General features: G+C 36.9%; 1 protein-coding gene across 7 annotated transcripts in view; it reads right to left on the bottom strand.

The window, feature by feature from the left end:
- The window catches only part of NAV3 (neuron navigator 3), a 641,149-nt gene extending 633,539 nt beyond the window's left edge, over positions 1-7,610 (bottom strand). For all 7 annotated transcript variants that reach the window (XM_017020166.3, XM_047429817.1, XM_047429823.1 and 4 more), the window contains exon 1: positions 7,206-7,610. In XM_017020166.3, coding sequence (XP_016875655.1) covers positions 7,206-7,277 — 72 coding nt within the window. In that variant the 5' untranslated portion in view covers positions 7,278-7,610. The remainder of the gene's footprint in view (positions 1-7,205) is intronic.
- Positions 7,611-24,260: the final 16,650 nt, after the last annotated feature.

Below are 24,260 nucleotides of genomic sequence, written 5' to 3'. Positions count from 1 at the left end.
AGAGGCCCTCACCAGGTGCCAGCACCTCAGCACTGGACTTGCCAGCATCCAGATCTGTGAGCCAAGGAATTTCTATTTCTTATAGATTACCCAGTCTGTTATTGCAGCACAAAATGAAGTAAGGTAGAGTCATGGGCACCACCACTTCTTTTCAATGTATTGCTCATTTGTGATAAGCTCAACTAACAGGGTTCCCATCTTTGGGCAAGCTCTGTCCATCTTCAGCCACACAACTAATTTGGTTAGTATTTGGTTTGCTCAGTGAAGTGGTGATTCCAGCTTTGAGGGACTCAAAAACCCAGATTTGGCTTTTGGACCTAAAGTACTAAAGCTTTTTAGAAATGATCCACTTTTAGGAGAGTAGAGACATTCATACACATACTCTGTTTATAATGCCAGTCATTTTTTCCCATTTAGTCACTGTTTCATGTATATATAGCTTCCTCACAGGGAACTCTAAGAAGAAGAGGGGAATGAATAGAAAAATTTTGCCTGAAAACCCACTCCAGATTCCAAGCACCAAATATCTGATTCAATAAATGTCTCCTAATTGTGTCTTTTTTTTTTTTAACGAATAGAATAAAGGTTGGACGTGGAAACAGGTACTGGCAGCTCTGTCGGCAGCTGCTTGGGACAATGTCAGTTGCAGAGGCCATCAACAATGGAGAGGGCGTGAGTGATGGCAGCAGCTGTTCTTTGTGTGGGTCACCCATAAATTGCCTGTTTATTTTTAAAAATGACCAACCATACTGAACAAGTGTTGATATTATCATTAGTCTGGGTATGCACTTAGGATATCCAAGAATAAAACAGGAATGAATAATAAGGATGAAAGAATTCTTGAAAAGTTTAAATTCCAAACAGCTGTGCTAACAGAGTCCAACATTAGCTGACTGAAACAAATATGAATACCAGAACTGTAGATATAGAGTGTCATAGTTTAGGTTTCCTGAGAGCAGACCCCAAAACAATGATCCAAGTGCAAGTAATTTATTTGGCTGATGATTCCAGGAAATACTGGGAAGGGAGTTAGGGAGACAGAAACCAGAAGATAGAAACTAAAGGCCACTTCATTGAACACATCACAATGGTGAGTAACTAAAACTTAATCCTCCTGGGGTGCTCTCAGAAACTGTCTGTAGGGCAAGGGTTCTCAAATATTGCTGTGCATTAGAGTCACCGGGGGATCTTAAAATGCACATTCCCATTCAATAGGTTTAGTGTAGGTCCTGAGATTTTGTATTTCTTATAAGCTCCCAGATGACAGTGATGCTGTTGGTCCTCAGAATATACTCAGAAAATCAAATATGTTGATTTTTTCAACTTTGCAGTCATACTGTAAAAAATTATATGCAAAATAGGCAGAATTCCTTATGTCTACCACTTTTGTAACATATCTTTAAATCGGCTTAGTTTCATTTAATTCTTATCCCAGGCATTGCATATTCCTGAACTAGAATCAATTTTGGAGACAATTAGTCAGTCCCTCTGTAAGAAAACCACAAAAATTTTTATCCACCCTGTCTTATTGCTATTAAATCAGATGGCCCAGCTCACTAGCAGGCAGCCTGCTATCCAGAGAAACAAATGGGACATATTTTAGAAGAAAAATGTTAGTCTTAGTATATTCTTTCCTTTATGAAATGATAAAAGCCAGAACTCACATGTTAGTATCAAGACAGAGGAAAAGATTTAAGAAAAATCAGAATTAAAACTGAGAAAACTTTATATGTTAATAATAATTAGTATCATTATAATTACAGTCATAATTAATGGCAACTAATACTCAGAGATTTTCATATAATTCTGCCTTCAAAATGTTCAAAATATATTGAGTGTTATATATCTTGGGACTGTATATTTTATCCATTTATATGAAGATATAGGCTCACTATATCTATTGACGTCTTAAATCCACCAATCAGGAGAAAGCACATAGTCTAGTCTAGAACAAAATGGTGGAACCATAAAGTATGCATATGTCCCATTCACTTTTATCCATTTCCAGTTTTTTCTGTTATACCAAGTCCAAATACTTCAAAAATGTGTGCTGCCAGGTGCAAAAAGGCCGCCATATGAATTTTTAGATTTCTATGATATGGTGGAGAAAAAATGAAAGGAGGTTCTATCCAAGTTCAAATCTGAGAAAGAAGTTTCTAGAATCACTTCTGAGTGGAAAAAGAGTCACTTTATCTAATTCATCCTTAGAGGATGCCAGATAAAATAACTGGGAGACAGCTGTTTGTGGAATCATCTTATAGAAGTATGAAGCAGAGGTAGAAATTAGGGATAGTCTTAATCTGCATCCGAGTATGCTACAATCACAGCACGAGTTTCTTTGGGAACTTGATGTTCATGTTTATGTCTACACATTAATTCCAGATTTATATAGTAACATTATAAAATGGCTATGTTTCAAAAATGAGAAGTTTAGATAATCAACAGTTGAATGACTAACCACTTTTGTTGAAACTGACACTACAATTCATTCTTACTAGAGCCGTGCTTCAGGATTGGCTGATAATAAATGATACGATGTTGTTTCAGAAACCTCATCATCCCTCATGCTCCCTATAACTTATGTAATATACATTAAAAAAGGAAGTCAGGTAGATTTATAAAAATAATTAAATGGCCTCATTTAATGAGGCCATTCTTTAAGAAAATCAACAAATATAAGGGCTAGACCTATCCTCACTAAACTTTCTTTTTTTATTGATTTATGCTCATATTTTCTTTAAAGAAAACAGATTTTTAATTAGTTTCCAACATAAACAATCTTAAGTAGTCTACACCTGCAAGAATAATCTGAAGAACACTTTTTGACTTGTATATGATGTTATTTTATCATCACTGCAAGAAAATGCAAAAATAAAATGAAAAGAATCAGCACACTAAATGAAATAAATAGCAAAATAAGAACTAGGCTAGCTTTAAATTGACAAAGTACTTCTACTCTGTAGAGCTCTGGCAATCGTAAGTGGGTGATGTTTCCAGGAAAATTATTAAAGTAACCTAACACAGTCACATGCAGACACCAAGCCCAGACCACGCTTCTGTTTGATGTCAGTTGAAAGAGAAAGAATAAAACAGGTCCATGTGAATTGACATTGATGAAGCACTCATTGTTACTTGAAGGTGATGCTTTCTCTAACCCTCCGCTTAAACTTGATTTTCAGTCCAAAAAAAAAATCACAGGAGCCTAAAATAATAGGCTTTTTCTATATCAGTATTATTCCTATCAATTAATACAATAATTTCTCTCATTTTACATAACTCTTCACATCTCAAACACTATACCCAGAATATGTCACTTCTGAAGTAATCTGAAGTCTCATAGAAGGACGGAAGGACAGATGTGATGTGTTGGAATTTATCGTGAGCTTTTTCATGGCAAGGTGAAAATAACTCTGGCAAACTGAATATGTAAAATACGTGATTTGGGGAAGTGAAAAACTGAGATTGTACCAATCTTAAAACATTTCCATAAAAGAAAAATACCTCTAAACATACACAATAATATTGCTCATGTCTTTCCGGTTTACGGAATACAGCAACAAAATACATCCAACAGATCACCAAATACTTTTTGCACCTTTGTGCCATGATTCTGAAGTGTGTATCCTACTATCTTTTTATCACTACCTAGTAAAATATTGACTATGACAAATGCTTTGGTTTAATACACAAAATATTCATGGAGCAATAAAACAGTGTTCCAGGGTTGTCTGAATTGCAAACTGCTGCAATTAGACTGACAGTAAAATTTACCATGCTCTGCTTTTCAGTTCAAGGTCACGATTAATTACATAGCAGTATCATTTGTAACTATTGAGCTTTCACTGTTCTGGGTTTGTTTTGCAGAAATAATCCCACAAAGCAATAAAATTAGCTGGCAGCAATATGCAAACCTCACTGGATTTGATTGTGCAAACAAAGGTCAAAAAGTCATGTTATCAAAAATAAAACACTCCATTATGGGCATTCAGGTGGTTTGAGATGCCACGATAATTTTCCAGAATCTGAATGCCAAGAGCTGGGTTATGGCCCAATACCAGCTGAAAGTTCTACTGAAAAAATAAATCACAAGACTCAAAAAAAGCCATTAAATTTCACCCAGTCCTACACTAATCCAAGTTGACTTGAGATCCTTAAAAGTATTTTCTTCAACTTCTATAAGATTATTAGAAGTATTCTCTTTAAGTCCTATAAGATACACATCTGTAGTTTATCAGTAATGAAGAGTACTTCAGATAGAATTTGTGGATATAGCTTGTAACTTTCAAGTATGTGATCCTCTGTTCAGATTTAGTAAGGGGATGAGGCATTATTTAAAAGAAACCAATAAAGTCAAACACTTTTGAAGCTTTAATTTTGAATAATAGCATATATATTTTAAATACATATTTATATATAAAATATGTAAATATTATATATATATATTTAAGGAATAGATAATTATATTTACAAGACCCAAACTCTTAAGGAGATAAAAGCAGCTTTTATTGTTGTAGGAAGATACTATCTTAATAAAGCAAAAGGTATCATGCATGTTCCTGACATATGATAAGCACCCTATGAATGACCAACCTCATCCCTGACATTCACCTCCTCATTCAGTAGAACACATACTCACAGACTCATATAAACAGGATCCTAAGAGTTTGTACTTAGAAGTAGAATATAATAAGTACAAATCTACACATCTTAAATTAACAAAAGCTAGTGATTTATTGTAAGCTGAATAAGAGATCGGTTGTGTAGTGCTTAGAATAGGTGCTTATCCAATCCATTTCAATGTACCTTGCTTTGAATGTGTACAATATGCCAAACACCATGAGAAGATGACACTTTTTCAGTAATATTAAAAAATGCTTCACCTCTCAATGAAGCAGGAGTAGGCTAAATGCGTTCTGTTTCACCTATACCTGCTAAATTAATTCATCATGAAGGACTATAAACACTTGAAGTAATTAAATAAATGACCTTCTAATCTCTATTAGCGATTACTTGGTGGCAGGGCCATGGCCAGCACTTCATCTACAAAGATTTATGATGTTACCTTTCAATTTTTCTTTAATTTAAACTCACTGTGACTCATTGTGTCATTGAGACTAGGTGTTCCTGCTGACATTTCAGATTCAAAAATTTTGAATCTTAAACCTTTATCTATACATACCAAGTTTCTGGTTTATTTGCAGATCTTACATATCAAGGCTACTTTTTAGGTGCCCACACCAGCGAAGGAGCCAAGAGGTCATTAGAACTCCATTTTCCACTCTTGATACTGCTCATTGAAAACATTCATTCCTCTTCCATTCCTTTACCGATGAGAAGGCGAGGCTATAGTGAGATGGGGGTCTTCCTGTGCCACATCACCAAGGTAGTATTTTTACACTTCTTGCAGAATTATGGTTCTCCATGGTTTGTCTAAATTCTATTACTATTAGTATGTTATGTATGAGCTGAGCAGTTTTGTGTGAGTTGGCCTAGTAAACGAAGTGTCATTACAAACCATTGTTTACAGTTCCACACAAAGAACTCAGAGGATGACTCTAAGAATTCGTTCCATTCTTCAACTTTAATTCCTTTGGTGTTTGCAGAAAATCTCCCTTAGCCAGGGAATGAAAAGGCAGCACCTGCAGAGGTACTCATCTTTTTTGTCATAAAAGCAGCATCTCCATCAGAAATTATAACCCTGTAATTAATCACTTACCTATTACCTCCCTCCCTCTTTACCCACCCAATATAGTACCCAAATTACCATCAGAGTTAAGGACGTTATAAAAATGTAGATAGGAAAAGATGATTAAATGGCTTCTTAGTAGTTAAATTGCAGAGAATGCTTTAGATTGAAATTTACTGTGACATCTCCTCTGGGTAAACACTCCAGTGCCAGCGGGAAGAAAAGCAGGCTGAACATTTGGTAACACCAACAAACTTATTTGTAACACAAGTATTTGTGTAGAAATTTATATCCACATTAAAGCAAAAATTGATTTCAGGCACCTTGAATTTTATAGTATTTAGTATTTTCTGAGATTTACTGACACTGCACAAAAAATGAACCAAACTGGGAATAAACAATCTATGCATTTCTGCCTCTATTAATGACAAAAGGATTACTGTAGCCCCATGCCAGTTGCATTAATTATATTGGCAAAACAAAATTAATAAGCCATTGACTCAGCACAGCCTCTTCTAAACTTACCTCCACCACTGTGAAAGACCTAACTAGTTGTTTTTCAGGATGTGAGAAGTGAACAGTAAACAAAATTTCTAAGACTGATGTAAAAACAAAGCTTAATTATGGCCCTTAGATCCACATCTAACTAAAAATTTCCTTCCTTTTCTCCCATTTCTTGCCAGCACCATCGCTACTGGGTCCCCACACACCTATCCTGTACTAGCAGAGTCCATAAGAGCACTGCAAAAGATGATACATTTCAGTACGAGTGGGGCTCTCTCTCCTAGACGCCATCTCTAACCCTTCTGATAAGTGTTCTTTAGGTGGTTCTCACTCCAGTGGAGCAATTCAGCAGGTAAGAGTTTCTAAAAAGCTAGAAAAATGAAGGTGAAGTACATCCCTTAGTATTCAATCCCCACTTCTTACTAAAAAGCTCGCTAAACGCTTTCTTTTAAAATAAAGTTAGCACAGTTCTTTTTTCCATCAGTTCTTTTGACATCATGTAGAATCAAAACAAAGCTCGCAGTTGTCTCACAACTTTCTTTCCAGGCCAGCTGTATAATTCAGAAGGCCTAAGTTGATGTGTCCCAAGGATATGAAATTAGAGAATTTAAAATGCCACTTATGCTTTCTAATGGCAATAAGGCAGGTGTTCTATTTAAGGAGAGCTCTAGCCTGCTCCATTACTCCAGAGGTGCCTGTGACTCATGCCTCACCCTGGGTCTCAGAGAACTGTTCCTACGAGGTCAGTTCAACAGGTCACTAGTATGAAGTCAAGAGTGAGAGAACACAGTAGAATCCTTGCCAACCCACTGGATAGATAAATTCAGAGGATTTTAGAAACAAAATTACCAACTGGTAATGAAATCCAGACCCACAGAAACACATTGCCATACAGCAGGGTTGATTTCCGTGAAACAGTATGTTATTTTATCTCAAAAGGTGCATTCATTTTCAATTTCAAAAATTCTCTTTAAGTGTAAACAAAAAGGACCAAGCAAAGAGAAATTTCTTTTACCTTCTTCTGATCTTCTAGCTTGTGACTCACTGGATTCTTCCCATGTCTGTTCATTTCTGAAGATAAATCCATCACATTAGGTTCTTGCCCTTCAAAATGGAATCTCTTCAAAAAAGCAGCAAACTAATCCAAGATGCAATTTCTAGGAACACACTGGCCCGCCACGTTCCCCATCACACACCGTTTCCGAACTTCATCGACTCCAAGGAATGATTAAAAAATCCATTGATTGAATGGAAAAAATAAAGTTTGCAGTTTACTCCCAGGACCTTCCAAATCAGCATATCGTTTTTAAATGCTGACTCCTCAAAAGCAAAATAGTCATCCGAGAATTTTGACTTCAACTGCTATCTTTTTCTTTCTTCACAGTTTTCCATTTTAATAAAAAATGACAGATTTCCTGTAAACCTGTGATTTAAAAAAATAAGCACATAGTTAATTCTCTTTCACCATTTTTTGTTACAATTAGTAAAATAAATTATTATTTGAAAATTTCAAAATATTTTAGGCATAAACAATATTTGACTTAAAAATAATGGCATTATTCTTCACCCTTATGGCCTTTAAAACACCAAGCTAAAAAGTAACAAAGAAGACACAACTACTCATCAAACATGTATGTATGCTTTACTGTTCCACTCTTGAATTTCTGCATTTATAGAACCACAGAATTTTAGAAGAGGGACCAATATGGCCAGATATTATGTTGTAGTTTGATAACTTTCATAGATAATTTTATTTAGACTTCAAAAAAGATCTGTAAAATGGTTATTATCATTCCATTTTAAGATGACATAATTAAGATTGAGAGGGTAAATTTTCGTAAGTCTCATAAGTAACAGAACTAGAATTAGAATTCAGATTGCTTTGACGTCAAAACCCATTATTTCTCCTAGTTGTACTCTTCTTGACTCATATTACGTATTTTGTCCCACAAGGATAACATAAACAAATCTGTCAAGTGCCTTACTGGGTTACAGATACACTATGCACAGTACTTCTTCTTAAAGGGATCATATAATCCAGTGGTTTCCAAGGCCAGCTAGATAATAGAATCACCTGAGAATAATCATAAACATATAGATTCCTGGGGTGCGCCCTTATCTCTGCTAATTTAGAAGCTATAGAGAAGTGCTTGGACATCTGTATTCTTTTCATCTCTTTTAGATACTTGTGATATAGAAAAACCACTGTTGAAATCTCCCCTTAATGCAGGACTTCCTAAACTTTTCTGCACATTAGACTCACATAGGAGGCTTCCAAAACTACTGGAAGCCCCAGATACTGTGCTTTGGCACCACTGCCTCAATATATAAATTCCCTTTATAATTGACCAACTACTTCCTGAAGAAACCTATCATCTCAGGAGGCAGCCCTTTTCATATTGAGGCAGTTTTAATCTTTAGATAGTTCTTGTTAATTTGGAGACAAAATCTGTATTTCTATACTTCTGTCCATTTGTAATTATTCATAATCTTCATAGTCATCAATGTGCACAAAATATGTTTGTTTTATATGACAGTTCTTCAATATCTCCTTAGCCAGGTTAACCATCCCTAGCACCCCAAAAATTCCTTACCACCATGATTACTTCCTTCAGAAGAGGTTGCACTTTGTATGAGGCCCATAAACTGTGCTGTCCAGCACTGAGCACAGGGGTCAAGCACAACTTGCTCCCTTTAAGAATTCGCCTCCAGGTCCCTCAACACATGCCATGATAAGCATAAAACAACTGATAAACATACTTTAAGTCAACAGTAAATTAAATGTTAGTGAGTATGAAAAATCAGCTTCTAAATTGCCCTTTGCACTTCTCTATACGTTTTTTTTTTTTCTTATCTGGCATCATTTTGCCAATCCCTGTTCTGTCTTCAACAACGCTGCTCTGTCATGCAGATATTTTAGTTTGTGCACTACTGTGAAAGTTTTCAGCACAGTAAACAACATGGACAAGGGCTTTGGCATAAGAGAACATGATCAATTTGAGGAGCTGAAAGAAATCCAATGAGGAGTCACTGCAAAATTGTAAGAAGGCATGCACTATAATAGGGTTTGTGATTTTAACAGTTCACCTGAACTGTCATACAGAAAATAGAAGGGAGCCAAACTTGTGCCAGAAAAACCTTATAGGCATTGTTAGAGCAATCCGAGAAACATACAATAGCATCCTGAACTAGTGTAGGAGCCGACGAGGTGGGAAGAATGACAAAACTGAGTGATATATCATGTAAGAGGCAGAGTTGACAGAAATGGTAATTGACTGAAAATGAGTTTGAGTGTGTGGTTTAAGGGTGCAGGAACATTACCTAACACAGCAAACTCATGAGAGACACACTTTGAACAAGAGAAGAAGAAAGACATGGTAAAACAAAAAATGCTTGCTAAAGTCCAGGACATTATAAGATAATCTCACTGATGTTCATAGATGCAAAAATCCTAAACATTAGCAAACTGAATCCAGGAATGTATAAAATGAATTATACATCAATTCCAAGTTGATACTATCCCAGGAATAAAGGTTGGCTTAAGATTTAAAAATAAATCAGTGTAACTCACCACATTTACAAAACAAGAAAAATTATATGCCCATCTCTATGGGTGTAGACATATAATTTGATAAATTAAACACTGACTCATGACCTAAAATTTATCTTGGCAAATGAGGAGTAGAAGGGGACTTTCATAATCTTCCTTTATCTGATAAAGTGTATTCACCAAAAAACAACTACTGCAAACATTAAACATATTGGTGAAAAGTTAAAAACTTTTCATATGATCAAAAACAACACACAAGTGGCTACTAATATGACTTCTATTTAACACTGTACTTAAAGTCTAACCATGCAGTAAGACAAGAAAATATGAGACAAGGGAGGGAGAGGAGGGAGATGGGGAGAGCAAACAAGCAGTATAAACACTAAAAAGAAAGAAATAAAATTGTTATTTGAAAATGTTATGGTAATATATACAGAATATATTAAAGAATCAAGAGATAAATTACTAGGATCAATAAGTGAGTTTAGTAAGTTTCTGTATACAAAGTCAATATATAAAAATCCTTTATATTTCTTTATAATATCAACAAACATTTAGAAAATGAAAGATTGAAAATATACTATTTATAATAGCATTAAAAATATCAAATGCCCTGGAATAAATCTCACAAGAGACTGTAAAAACTTTATGATAAAGCAATAAAACAGCATCAAAAGAAAATAGAGATTTAAATAAATAGAGGGCTGTGCCATATTCAGAAATTCAGAAATAAGACTCAATAATGTAGAAACAACTCATACCTAAAATATTTATTGCATTCAATGCAATACCTAATCAAAATCCCCAGTTTTTCTTTATAACTTTAGAAGATGCTTCTAAAAGGTCTAAAAGGTATATGGAAATGCAAACAATCAAGAAAATCCAAGACACTGATGAAGAAGAACAAGTTGAAACTATTTGCTCTACTGGATGTTAAGGCATATTTTAAATCAACAGTAAATAAAATGATAATAACAAGGGTAGAAAAATCAACCAGTGGAACATAGAAATCCCCGAACCAGGCTTTAACAGATATGACCACTTTATTTGACATAAAGGTTGAACTGCAAAACCACGGAGAAAAAGTAGTTTCAAAAAAGAATGCCAGGTCAGTTGGATAGCCATATAGAAAAAAGTTAAACCCGACTTTTACTTCATACTAACAATTTCAGGTGGACTGCTGATATAAATCTGACAAAAAATAAAGCTTCTTGGAAAATGCCTTCATTAACTGAGGGTAGGGGAAAATTTCTCAAGAGTTCAAAAGCACTGAACACGAAGAAAAATAATAACTATATCAATATCAAAAACTTTTATTAATCATAAAACACCAATAAGAAAATATAATTCAACTCATGGACTAGGAAAAGTCACTTGTTATATATATAATTACATATAAAAACATCTAAAAGTCAATAATAAAAATACAATAGACAAAAATATCTGAATAGATGTTTCCAAAAATAATAATATAGATGAAAAACAGATTAATGGTTGCCATGGCTTAGGGATGAGGGTGAGATGTGTCCAAAAGAGGCAGGAAATAGGAGCCTTATGGTACGGAACAGCATTGTATCTTGATTGTAAGGGTGGTTACATGAGTCTACTTATGTGATTAAGTTGCATAGACAATACACATATACAATTCAGTATCTATAAAACTGGTGAAATATGAATCTGCTCACTCTGTGGACTGTACCAATGCCAACTTCCTAGTTTTTATCTTATACTATAGTTATGCAAGATGCTAACGCTGTAGTAAACTAAGTAATGGGTACACAGAACTTCCCTGTCCTTTTTTGGCTTATCTTGACACTTCCTGTGACTCTAAAATGATTTAAATAATTTAAACATGAAAAGTTAAAAAAGGATGGACAAATGGCCCATAGATACATGTAAAAATGAATACTCTTGTCTGGGCGCGGTGGCTCACGCCTGTAATCCCAGCACTTTGGGAGGCTGAGGCAGGCGGATCACTAGGTCAGGAGATCGAGACCATCCTGGCTAACACGGTGAAACCCCGTCTCTACTAAAAATACAAAAATTAGCCGGGTGTAGTAGCGGGCGCCGGTAGTCCCAGCTACTTGGGAGGCTGAGGCAGGAGAATGGCGTGAACCCGGGAGGCGAGCTTGCAGTGAGTGGAGATCGTGCCACTGCACTCCAGCCTGGGCTACAGAGCGAGACTCCGTCTCAAAAATAAAAAAAATGAATACTCTTATTAGTAATCAGTACAATGCTAATCAAAACTACATGAGATATAACATCTCATCTACCTAAGTTAATAAAAAGAATGACACTATCAACTGTTAGCAAAGACATAAAACAACAAGAACACTGCTGGTCAAAATGTAAATTAGTATAACTATTTTGGGAAAATGTTTAGTATTACCTATTAAGTTTAAAGATACACATACTTTATAACCCAGCAATAATATTCCTAGGTATGTACTCTTCAGAAATATATGCATATGTGCATCAAGAGACACAACAGCAAAGTACTTTCAACATAACCATAAAAAAATTCAAAACAATCTGGAAACAAAGTTCACCAACATTAGAATAGATAAATAACTTATGGTACGCTTATGCAACAGACAATTGTACATTAATTAATATTAACAAACTATGGACACTCACCAATATGTATGAATCTTGCAAATATTAAGGAAGCCAAAACCAAAGCAAAAGAAATATATATACTACATGATTCCATTTATGTGAAGTTCCAAAAACTGGCAAAACCCAATGGTGTTAGAAGTCAGGATACTGGTGACCTTCGGTGAGTGGGAGGGAATGATGTTTTAATTGCAATTTGATTACAGTGTTACCCATGTTCATTTTTTTTATTTGGGTGGGCGATACATTAATATTGGCCTTGTAACAGTTCACTGAGCTGTAAATTAAAATTTCGTATGGTTTTCTCTATGTAAAGTATGCTTCATGATTAGAAAAAAGCTAAGAAAAAACTTAGACACGTCTATGTGTTTAGTGTTCCCATAAATGGTCTCTCCAATAAGCAACAATAAAAAAAAAGTTAGACTGATTAAACTTGTTATTATTGGGTGTCATTCTTATTTTTTAAGGTTATGGACCAGCTGTTTCATTACGGCATAGAATTTTGCCATAGCACAATGTCAAGCTTACCAATAGCATGGTTTATTAAATATCAGAAAATGTATTTATCTCCTAACTTTCAAAATATCTCCCCCAATTTTTTTTTTTTTTTTTTTTTGAGACAGAGTCTCGCTCTGTCACCCAGCCTGGAGTGCAGTGGCACGATCTCGGCTCACTGCAAGCTCCGCCTCCCAGGTTCACACCATTCTCCTGCCTCAGCCTCCCAAGTAGCTGGGACTACAGGCGCCCGCCACTGAGCCCGGCTAATTTTTTGTATTTTTAGTAGAGACGGGGTTTCACCATGGTCTCGATCTCCTGACCTTGTGATCTGCCCGCCTCGGCCTCCCAAAGTGCTGGGATTACAGGCGTGAGCCACCGCGCCTGGCCTCCCTCTCTCTTTATAGTAGTAAGGCATTACAGTCTGTCAACCATATTTTCCATACACATTATTTTATATTAGCATGAAATAATTTTTCCAAAAGCATTACTAATGTTCTAAATTATTCAAATTTATCTACCTTACCTAATACCTTCCTCATAGTAGAAAAATACGTATGGAAGACAAAAAGCACTGTGTGCCTAATGTGTGTGCAGCACAGTGCAGGCCCCAAATCATCAGATTTTAAATACTCATCCTTGTCTTTATACAGTTTACAGTCCAGCAGGGAGTCAGATGTAATGAAAACAAAGGAGCACCAGCATATTCTTTTTCACTCTGTCAAATATCAAAACCTTAGAATACAAATGAGTTTACACCAATGATAAAAGGCAATTTCATGTGGACAGAATAAATTATGGACAATTATGCACATAAAAATTAATTTCAATATGATTTCAATTCATTTTAAATTAATAATTTAAGATGACTTATCCTTATTTTTGCAGAATAAAAATGATTTATGATAAAACTACAAAGCTGCTGGAATGTACATGAAGATATTGAAAAGTTGTTCGCTCACACGAAGGTAATTGTCAATACGTAGTATTAATTGTCTACCACTTTTATTCAATATAATACAGTGGTTGGGTTTGGTAGGGAAATCCAGTGACTTTATGTATAAGTATAAATAGTTTCATGTTTTTATAGCTTAAAAGAATGTTTCCATACTGCTCAGACTCACCCAGGAGTCTCTCATCAGATAAAGGATAAATGTTTTCAGTGAGATTTTGAAAGGATTTGTGAAGATTACTTACAGAGTGATCTTCAGTCTCTGACAGGGATTTTACAGGGACCACTCAGACAGATTGATGGATATTTTCTGCAGTTGAGGGGACACAGAAACCTAGTACCCAGGCAAGGTGAAGTGGCCTGTGGCCACAGGGCAATGACACACCTGAGAAGTAACTTGCAGTCTTCTCTGATCGTGAATCAAAATGTGCACATCTTAGGGACCTGATAAAGAATGTGTGGTAAAAATATTTTCCTGAACTCATTTAGTAAAAGCGATCCTGCTCAAAAGGGTAATTAGCCAGGGTAAGGGAACTCCTGAAGGAGGAAGCTGTGGGAACTATAGCTGGAAGGAGGAGCTGAGGAGACATCCAGAATATTTGGCTTAAAGAGAGGCTACTATCCAGTTCAAGGGAGATGAAGTGAGGGAGGTCTAGCAGTAAGTTTTCAAAATTCTCAGACAGATAACCAGGAAAGTCAGTTTTAAACATCTCCCTGGCCTACAGTCAATGAGCCATCTTACAACATTAAGACTTTCTTACCTCTCCTCTTTTCCTCACCTACCCTGCAAACGCCCTATTGAGTGGGGAGGAGGTGAAAGGAGAAAGACCTTTCCAAATAGCAGAAGTGTGGTAGCAAAGGGCATTAGTCTTTGGTCTTGGTTTGTGTAAAGAGGAAGAAGTTTTTGAATAAAGATGTGTTTACAGATATATTGAAAAAAATGTTCAAATTCTGAATTGAAACCTGTTTTGTGACCGACAGTGAGACAGTAATCATAAATCTTTTTTTTTTTTTGAGATGGAGTCTCGCTCTGTCTCCCATGCTGGATTGCAGTAGTGCAATCGCGGCTCACTGCAAGCTCCGCCTCCTGGGTTCACGCCATTCTTCTGCCTCAGCCTCCAGAGTAGCCGGGACTACAGGCGCCCGCCACCACTCCCGGCTAATTTTCTGTATTTTTAGCAGACACGGGGTTTCACCCTGTTAGCCAGATGGTCTCGATCTCCTGACCTCGTGATCCGCCCACCTCAGCCTCCCAAAGAGCTGGGATTACAGACGTGAGCCACCGGGCCCAGCCAATCATAAATCTTACACTATGTAAAAGTGAATGAAACACAATTGTATGATCCAAATTCACATCCATGGATAGAGAAGCAATTAATTCTCTGAAGAAGTTTAAAGAAACAGGAAAGAAGTTTGGAGTAGAGATTTAGATTTGTGAGTCATCAGTCTCAAAAGGAGATCATGCATAGAAGTTACATGGGTTGAGAAAAGTACCAAAGACAGGCCTCTTGAAAAGACTCAAATTGCCTTAGGTACTATTTTCAAAACTAGCTCTTAATCCTATCCACGTAGCAAACTTAATCATACCACTTAATTAAAATTCATCAATGGTTCTCTAATACCTGGAGCCCAAAAGAAAACAAAAATCAAAATTTCTTAGCATGATATTCAACACTCTACCCATTCTATTTTTTTAACTTCCCAGCTGCTATTTTATTGTAGCTATACAAAACAAGTTATAATACCTAAATATAACTTGTCATTTCACATCTTGGACATTTATAGATCCATGTATGCCACACAATCCACTTGGAAATTTCCTACTTCATGCTTAAAAAGTCTCCTCAACTCATTTCCTCTCTGAAGGCTTCACGTTGTATCCCCACTCAACCAGACAAGTTAGGCCTTTTTATCCCCATGTTCTACAAGCATACACACACACACACGCACACCAATCATTGCCTATAAGGCTGAAAAGGTTATGCCAAAATTGTCTCATTCTAGCAAAAATACATTTATAGTTTAGAAAGGCCATAGGTCGGGTGCAGTGGGTCACACCTGTAATCCCAGCACCTTGGGAGGCTGAGAGGGGCAGATCACAAGGTCAGGAGATCAAGACCATCCTGGCTAACACAGTGAAGCCCCGTCCCTACTAAAAATACAAAAAATTAGCTGGGCGTGCTGGCGCACACTTGTACTTGGGAGGCTGAAGCAGGAGAATTGCTTGAACCCAGGAGGCGGAGGTTGCAGCGAGCCAACATCACACCACCGCACTCCAGCCTGGATAACAAAGTGAGACTCCATCTCAAACAAAGAGAGACAGAGAGAAAGAAGGAGAGAGAGAGAGAGAGAGAGAGAGAGAGAGAGAGAGAGAGAGAGGGCATAGGCCCCTTCTGAACTTATTATTTTAGCTATATTCTCTTTGAGATAGTACATGCATACAAAAAAGTACAAAAATCTTTAGTACACAGTCTATGACACATTCATCTACTGAGTTAACAACCATGCATATCAAGATATAGAACATTTCCCAAATTCCAGAAGACTTCCTTATTTACTCTTTCACATAATAGCCCTAAAGGTATCCACTACTCTGAGTTTTATCAGCGAATTTTCCCTGTTCCTGAAACTTCAATATAACGAATACTACAGTGCCTTCAGTATGTACTCATTTGTTTCTCCTCTTTTCTTTTCTCAACATTAAATCTGGAAGTTGTGTCTGTGTTGTTACAAGTAGCAGTAGCTCACTCTTTTTTATTCCTTTATGGAGGAGAAGGTTGTGCTCATATGTCCCAATTCATGTAATTGACCAAAATAATGCTCAATTAAACTGGAATTTTTAATCATCCTGAATTCTGTATCCTAATTCAGGCTTTCTGGACTCTTCATGAAGAAAACAAAGAAGTTCATTTTACTTAACCTATTTTTTCCCAGGCTCTGTGACCTCTATTCAAGTCAAGAGAATACAAGAAATTAACAGTTCCTGTTACCAGACCGTTAACAGAGTAACAAATCTCAAATCCAGAAACTATTAAAAAAAGACTGAAAATTTATTTAGGAATTTTAACTATTAGTCAGAGGTGATATGGTCATTATTTACTCTTTAAATTCTCATATTGAGTTGTTGCTTCATCTTTATGTGGCTAAATCAGCATGTCTAAAGTGCAAAGGATCCAAGCCCAAATGGGGAGGGTTGAGAAGCTGTTCTAGCAGACCCAGGGCCTTGGGTCAGAGGTTCCACTTGGCCTCCTACCATGCCCCAGATCCAAGACTCATTGTTACACATAACAAAGTACTCTACCCACAGTAAAAATATTAGAAGCCTAACGGAATAATATGACTGTTCAAAAATATATTTTTTAAAAAAAATTAAAAATATTTTAAAGGGATTATTTTAAAAGGTTATTTAAACATCAACATCTATTTATGATTTAAATATTTTAAAAAGCAAAAAACATAGAAACAGGAATAAAAGAAAGTCAAATAGCTACAGCAGAAAATATTGTAGTTACTAGTAAACTATCAAAAGAATATGCAGAGTATGATACCATTTATATAAAGTTTAAAAATCATTACTAAATATTGTGTGTAAATACATACAAATGTAGTAAAAGTAGAAAAACATGTATGCAATGATAAATTATTTAAAAGTCAAAAATAAATAAAGATGCTTAACACTACCATTTAAATAAACCACCATGTTATAGGTGCTTATCACCATGTCAAGACAAAGAGAAATCAATACAAAATATAAGAATAGAAAAGGTAGAAAAAAATTTGTATGTATTATTGACTACAGACAATACAGGAAAATTAATAAACAAATTGTTTAGAATAAACAAGGTTATCTTTTATGATACACCAACAAAATATACATTTGTATCAGCAACGATAAAAACAGTAAAATAAAATGCAATTTTAGAACAAATTCTATTAGTAAGAGAAACAAAAATTATGTCCTTAGAGATAAGACTAGAACAATATATGACCTTTACAAGAAGCATCTTTTTGTTTTCATTGAAAGATATGAACTGTATTTATATAAATGGAGAGATATACCATGTTTATGAATAGGAGGATTCAATATTATAAAGGTGCCAGTGGTCTTTTATAATTCCCTAAGTTCAATTCCAATACAAATCTCCATATGTAACTTTTTAATGTAACTTAAAAAGCTGATTATGAAATTTATATGTAAGAGCAAAGGAATAAGAATAGGCAAGACCGTTTTGAAAAATGCATGCTTTCGAGATTTTCAAGATATCAAGATTTATAAAAAACAATGATATTTAAGACTGGGGAGGAATTGGCCAAAGGGAAAGGCAAATAAATTATTAGAATAGGCTATATTGCTCAGAAACAGAAACACAGTACACAGAGATTATTAATATGCAGTCCAATGAGAAAAAATTGACAATTAAAAAATGTTTCTGAGACAATTAGTTAAACACATGGGAAAATAAGACTAACAAAAAATAATTCTTAAATGAGACATAAAAAAATACAAACCCTAATGAAAAAGACTGATAAAACTGACTATATCCACGTGTACCACAAAGTGTCAGCATATAAAATAGAAAAACTAGAGACTGGAAAAATATAGTATATGTGTCACAGGATCCTTAGGGTGTCGCTTTACCACGCGGAAACCTCTGTTGCTGGTATTGCCTTTCCCTGAGTTTTACTTGGGCCTATGGGCTCCTTCTACTCACTTGGCCCAGCAGGCTGGGATGGGCTCCTACTACTGGTCGGATCCCATGCCTGCCAAGGGCGAGCCAGAAGTGCAGCAGTGAGGGGTGTGTGAGTGAGCACAAGGTCTGGCCACAGTGCACACAACCAGGATTGCTGGCTATGGCAGGGCAGGCAGCTCCAGGCACCCACAAAGATGCTCGGCTCCATGCAAGGCTGCAGGTGAACCAGGCATTCAGAAAGCAGTTTCCACAGAGGGGGCCAGGGAACACAGTGGTACCTGGAAGCTTGGACATGCCAGGAACCGCAGAACCCCAAAGAGGGTGTCACAGCCTGGCCTGGGGAGCCCCTAGTTCTGGGATCCCCAAAGGGCTACAGCTCTTCTCTCCTTCTCTTCGCCTGCAACATGGTGAGCAGGGGGGCATGTTTCAACCCTGTTTGTGTTACAGCTTTCAGTCCTGCCACTCGGCAGGTCCCAAGTTCTTGTCCTATTTCAAGGAAGAAGGAAGCATGCAGACAACTGGAGGGGAAACAAGGCAGAGAGGAGCTTCATTGAGAGAAAGAACAGCTCTCAGGATACCCAAAGTGGGTAGCTCCTTTCTGCAGGCAGGTCATCCAGACAAGAGTCCAGTTCTCAGCGGAGAGGAGACCCAGAGTGGGTAGCTCCTTTCCACAGGCAGGTCATGCAGGTGAGCTGAGAAAACTTGAAGTGGGTAGCACCTTCTCACAGCTGGTAGTCCCAGTGTCTCTGTGAGTCTGGCTGAGTCCAGGGGTTTTTGTGGGCTTCAGAAGGGAGGAGGTGCATGCTGATTGGTCTATGGGTAACCATGGGTGGGCCCTAAAAAGCACCGTAAGTTCTCGCTCTTGGCACAGATTCCACCTGCAACTGGCAGCCTGGGCCCCATGCTTCAGGCCATCCCTGGCTTGAAGATGGGGCTTCACTCACCCCTTTCTGCCCAGGAGCCTGTCTGCTTCCTGCTGCCATCAATCATGTCATCCACAGCATCCACCCAGGCTGTTCAAGTGGAGCGCATGTCAAGCCACCCTCACCCACCCTGTGCCCCCCACCATGCTCCTCAGCGCCCAAAGTCCGGAGGGGGCTGAGGAGGCAGGGGGCTGATGTGTCAGCACTGCCCTGAGCAAGCATACACCCAGCCAGGTTGCGACAGTGCCTGCCTGGGCTCAGCCTCAACTTTGCTCCAAAATCAGAGCAGGCACTGGGAGAGAGGAGAGGCCAGTCCACGGGGACAGACACTTCTGAGACTGTGGGGGAAGAGGGGCTTCCTGGCCCGAGAGTACAAGGATGCCTGGGTCTGGAACTGCAACAGGGCAGCTGCATCTGTGCCTGGTGAGCAGACAGACCCTGACCCGCCAACTTAGAAGGGGATGGATCCCCCACTCCTGCTCCCCATCCCCCTCCCCATGGGGCACGCAGCCCCAGACACGCCTTCCCAGCTGCAGCCCAAGTCTTCACAGTGGCCGTTCTAGACGGGCTGCCACTGCCATCATATATATGTGTGTACGCACTAAAAATAGAATTCTTACAAAGTAACTAAAAACAAAGAAGACAAGTGACCTAGTAGAAAAAGAAGCGGAGTATATACACATATATGATGAAGCAATTCACACAAGAACAAATATGGATGGTGATACAGTTTGGCTCTGTGTCCCCATCCGCATTTTATCTTGAATCGTAATCTCCACATGTTGGAGGAGTGGCCTGGTGGAAGGTGATTGGATTATGGGGGCACATTTCCCCCTCACTATTCTCCTGATAGTGGATAAGTTCTCATGAGACCTGACGGTCTACAAGTATGTGGCACTTCTCTCTCTGCTGCTCCACAATGTGAAAATGAACTTGCTTCCCCTTCACCTTCTGCCGTGACTGTAAGTTTCCTGAGGCCTCCCAAGCCATGCTTCCTGTTAAGCCTGCAGAACTGTGAGTCAATTAAACCTCTTTTCTTCAAAAATTACCCAGTCTCAGGTGTTTCTTTACAACAGTGTGAGAAAGGATTAATACAGATGGCCAATAAGCACATGAAAAGTAGTAATTGACAAATTATACATCTTTTTTTTAAAAAAGATACTAGCAGAGTCCCATCTAAAAGAGTATTTAAAAAGTTTAAATGTTACCAATATCAACTGTTGGCAAACATGGGCTAATACTAAAACTTCCATAAATTGCCAGTGAGTATGTAACTGATGCAAATACTTTTAGTGAGTTATGTGGCAAAATCCAGTAAAATTTAATGTCAACACACCTTATCATGTGTCCATTGAATTTCTCGGGAGAAATACATACACTAAAAGACATGAATGAGAATGTTCATTGTAGCCTCTTTGGCATTGGTAAAACATTTGAAATATTCTAAATATTCATTATCAGGTATCTAGATCAGTAAATTATGACATGTATCTGTATAATGGAATGTTTTATAATATTTAAAATTTATGTATTAAACTTCAACCTACCCACACCAACAAATCTTAATATAATCATGCATCAAACAAGTTGCACAAGAATAGAGAATGATGTCACTTAAAAATTTAGAAACATGTAAAACAGTAATAAATACCATTTGGATAAAAATACAGATATGGTAAAAGCATTAAAAATGTGTTAGAAATGACAAATCCTAAATCAGGATTGCAGTTCTTTTCTGGAATGAGAACATGGAAATAAAAAAAGAGTTACAACAGGAGCATTTAGTAATTCCAGTATTCCATTTAGGAATTGCACTATTTTATATCTTTAAAAAAATTCTGAAGCAAAATGTTAAAATATGGCAAAGCTAGATGTTGAGTACATGAAAGTTAATCATTATTATTCACTCTGTTTTTCTTAACACCTAAAATAGCTCCCCATAAATGTTAAGAAAAGTTATAGAATGCAAAATTATTTTTAATAAATAAGTCAACCAACCAACCAACCATTAGACTATAACATGTGGTTTTCAACAGGGATAAGATCTCTTCATGTTGCATTTGGCAATGTGCTGGAGGACTCTCTTTTTCATTGTACTGGAGAGTATTGCTGGCATTTACTGGGGTAGGGAGATGATAAATGTCTTGCAATGCATTGGTACAATCCAGGACCAATAAAAATTGCCCACAGATCTCCTATTGACAGACACAGCCACCACATCAATCTGCCTCAGAACATACTTGACCTGACGACAGACTTATCTCAAGCCCCTCACCATGAGAAGATGGCTTATTTCTCGGGATCCTTTCTTTAATAACATTACTTTCCCCAGAGCCTCCTATGTGTCAGAGGTTGTTCTTGGATCAGGAAGAGAAAGATGCATAAGGCTCTGCCCCAGTACCCACCCCGTAAGCTGAATTCCTACCTCACCCTCTCAGCTAAAGTGTTGGGCTCCATGAAGTCAACCCCAGAAAATCTTTATTGCCACCTGATTCAGATGCACACAATCAAACAAAGTCTCAGTGCCATTGGTTGCCATATAAATGCCCCTCCACACAAATGTATTCCTTTTTTTGGTATCATGAAGAATCAGACAACCAGAAAGTAAACACTAATGCAATATAATTTTGTGGGTGAGTTTTCAGAAAACTGTAATTGTAATATAAGACAAAACAAGCTTTTCTCTTGTATAATAAGTATTCATAAAAGGTATTTTTTAAAACTGCCTTGCATCGTGCTTTATAAACTAAGTTCTTGCAAAATTCCATCTTTCCCACTTGTGATACACAGGAGAAATAAAAACAGCAGGGGAAAACACTATGTTCCTTGCAACATGGCTGCTCTGCCTCATTTCTGTAGCCTGCAAATGGTAGGCTATTTGCCTTTATCAGATAAATTGGCTCTGCAGCCACATTTAAAAGAACATACACTGGTTTTCAGCATGAAGTTTGGACTTCATTACTTCAAGATAAAGGGATGCAAGGAAGGTTGAATATCATTTTGAGACAATAATTGTATGTGTAATGGAGATTGAACAGTATAATGCATCTATATTCTTAGGTACTAATGATAAGTAGAAAAAAGCTTGCATCTTTCAGCTAAATTTGTTTATTTCCTGAAAAGTCAATGTAGTAATTCAAGGCCAAGTGACAGGAAATTAGTTTCCTGGTTGACATCAATTCGATCTTCAGTAATAGTTCTTAAATGGAGTTTCTATGCTCAGAAGAGAAGGAAACACACACACACACAATATTTCCAATAACCCAGGTCACAACCCAGGTGATATGGCACACATTATGTGGATAATACTATGATGTATGCCTGCAAACATGCATTGCCTTATTATGTAATTTAATCAAACCTATTATTTGATCAGGTTCTTACATTTAGTCTTGTATATGAACTTGGTTATTTAGAGAATACAGGCTCTCATAAGCAAGATTTGAAACACATGGCTGTTTCTTATTGCAACATTAAATAGACAATCATTTTATCTAGGTAGTCATAAAAGTAAATACACTAAGTAAAGTTTTTCAAAATTAAAAACAAAAATTGATTTCTAGTCTCCTTGCTCAAGTGTTATCAATAATACATAGTTCTCTCTTGGGAGAAGAGAGCCTTTCTCACCTTTTCTACCCATGCTCAGGACCTCACCCTATATATCATCTGTTTAAACTCTCCTGATAGAAGAGACTACTAATTTTCACCCAAGATCCATTCTCCATTTATCCTCAAGGTTTCAGCTGCACATAGGGTCTCAAAATGGGAGACTATGTTCCCAGTTTCCCTCTTTGCAAGATCTGGCCATTTGATGATGCTGTAGCCAATAGAATGCACATGCCACTTTCAGATGACATAATTTCAAAAGGAAATTACAATTTTCTTTCTTTTCCCCAAACACATGGCTGTTTCTTATTGCAATAGCAACAAAATAGGTGATCAAGCCAGGTTAGGTAACATTATTGAAGCAAACCTAATAAATACTGAAAAAAAAAAATCTGATGACATATCAAAAGAAACAATTTGGACTTCATAAGTTTTGAATTAGAAGCTTTAAAAACTTCTATATGTGACTCATCATGGTTTCAATTCAATTTATTAATTTTCCAATAAAAGGGTTATACAATTTTAAGAATCCTTACAGTTTTAATATTCTAAGATTTTATACATTGCTTCCTAATTTTTGCCACTTTCTTAGCCAAAGCCTTTCATTACCTTGATTAGTGTGCTGCAACCTACAGATACTCTGTGGAGAAGCACATTCCCCTTGTTAAGAGATGTTCTCATCCTTCCTTGATTTCAGATAATCATAAGCCATGATTTGCTACCATTTATAACCCAGCGGTCTACATTTTACTTCCTATTATAGCCAACCTTTCAGCACTAGTCCAACACCAATAAAGAAGCAAATGCTATTTATCCAATATCAAAAATTCCAAATTAAGTAGAGAATAAGAAACCTAGCCAGCATATAAAACTGTAGAAATTTTCTACTAGAGAAACCAATGGTATATTTTGGAGAGGGAGATCAAAGAAAAACCAGCCCTCAGTAGAGTCATTCCTTTACGTAATACAATTTGTAAAAGGATGGGGAGGGGCGAAGGCCTTTAGAAAACAGTGAGTAGTATTTTATGTCCCATACAAATCCTGCCTTGCGTATCTTTTCTTCTTGATACAGCGGAGTATTTTTATACTTTACTATTCACAGTTTTAGAAGAGACTGTGCTGCATATTCTGCACATCATTTTTTCCTCCTGTGCATATGGAGAGACCGCATTTTAGCATGTGGTAAATAACATTACTCAGGCCTAATGAGTATGAGAACCAGAAGCTTGGGCTCATC

The sequence above is a fragment of the Homo sapiens genome, chromosome 12 (assembly GCF_000001405.40).
Source record: "Homo sapiens chromosome 12, GRCh38.p14 Primary Assembly".
NCBI classification, from domain to species: Eukaryota; Metazoa; Chordata; class Mammalia; order Primates; family Hominidae; genus Homo; species Homo sapiens.
Note: the sequence above shows the minus strand (reverse complement) of the source record. Positions and strands in the feature narration are given on the sequence as shown.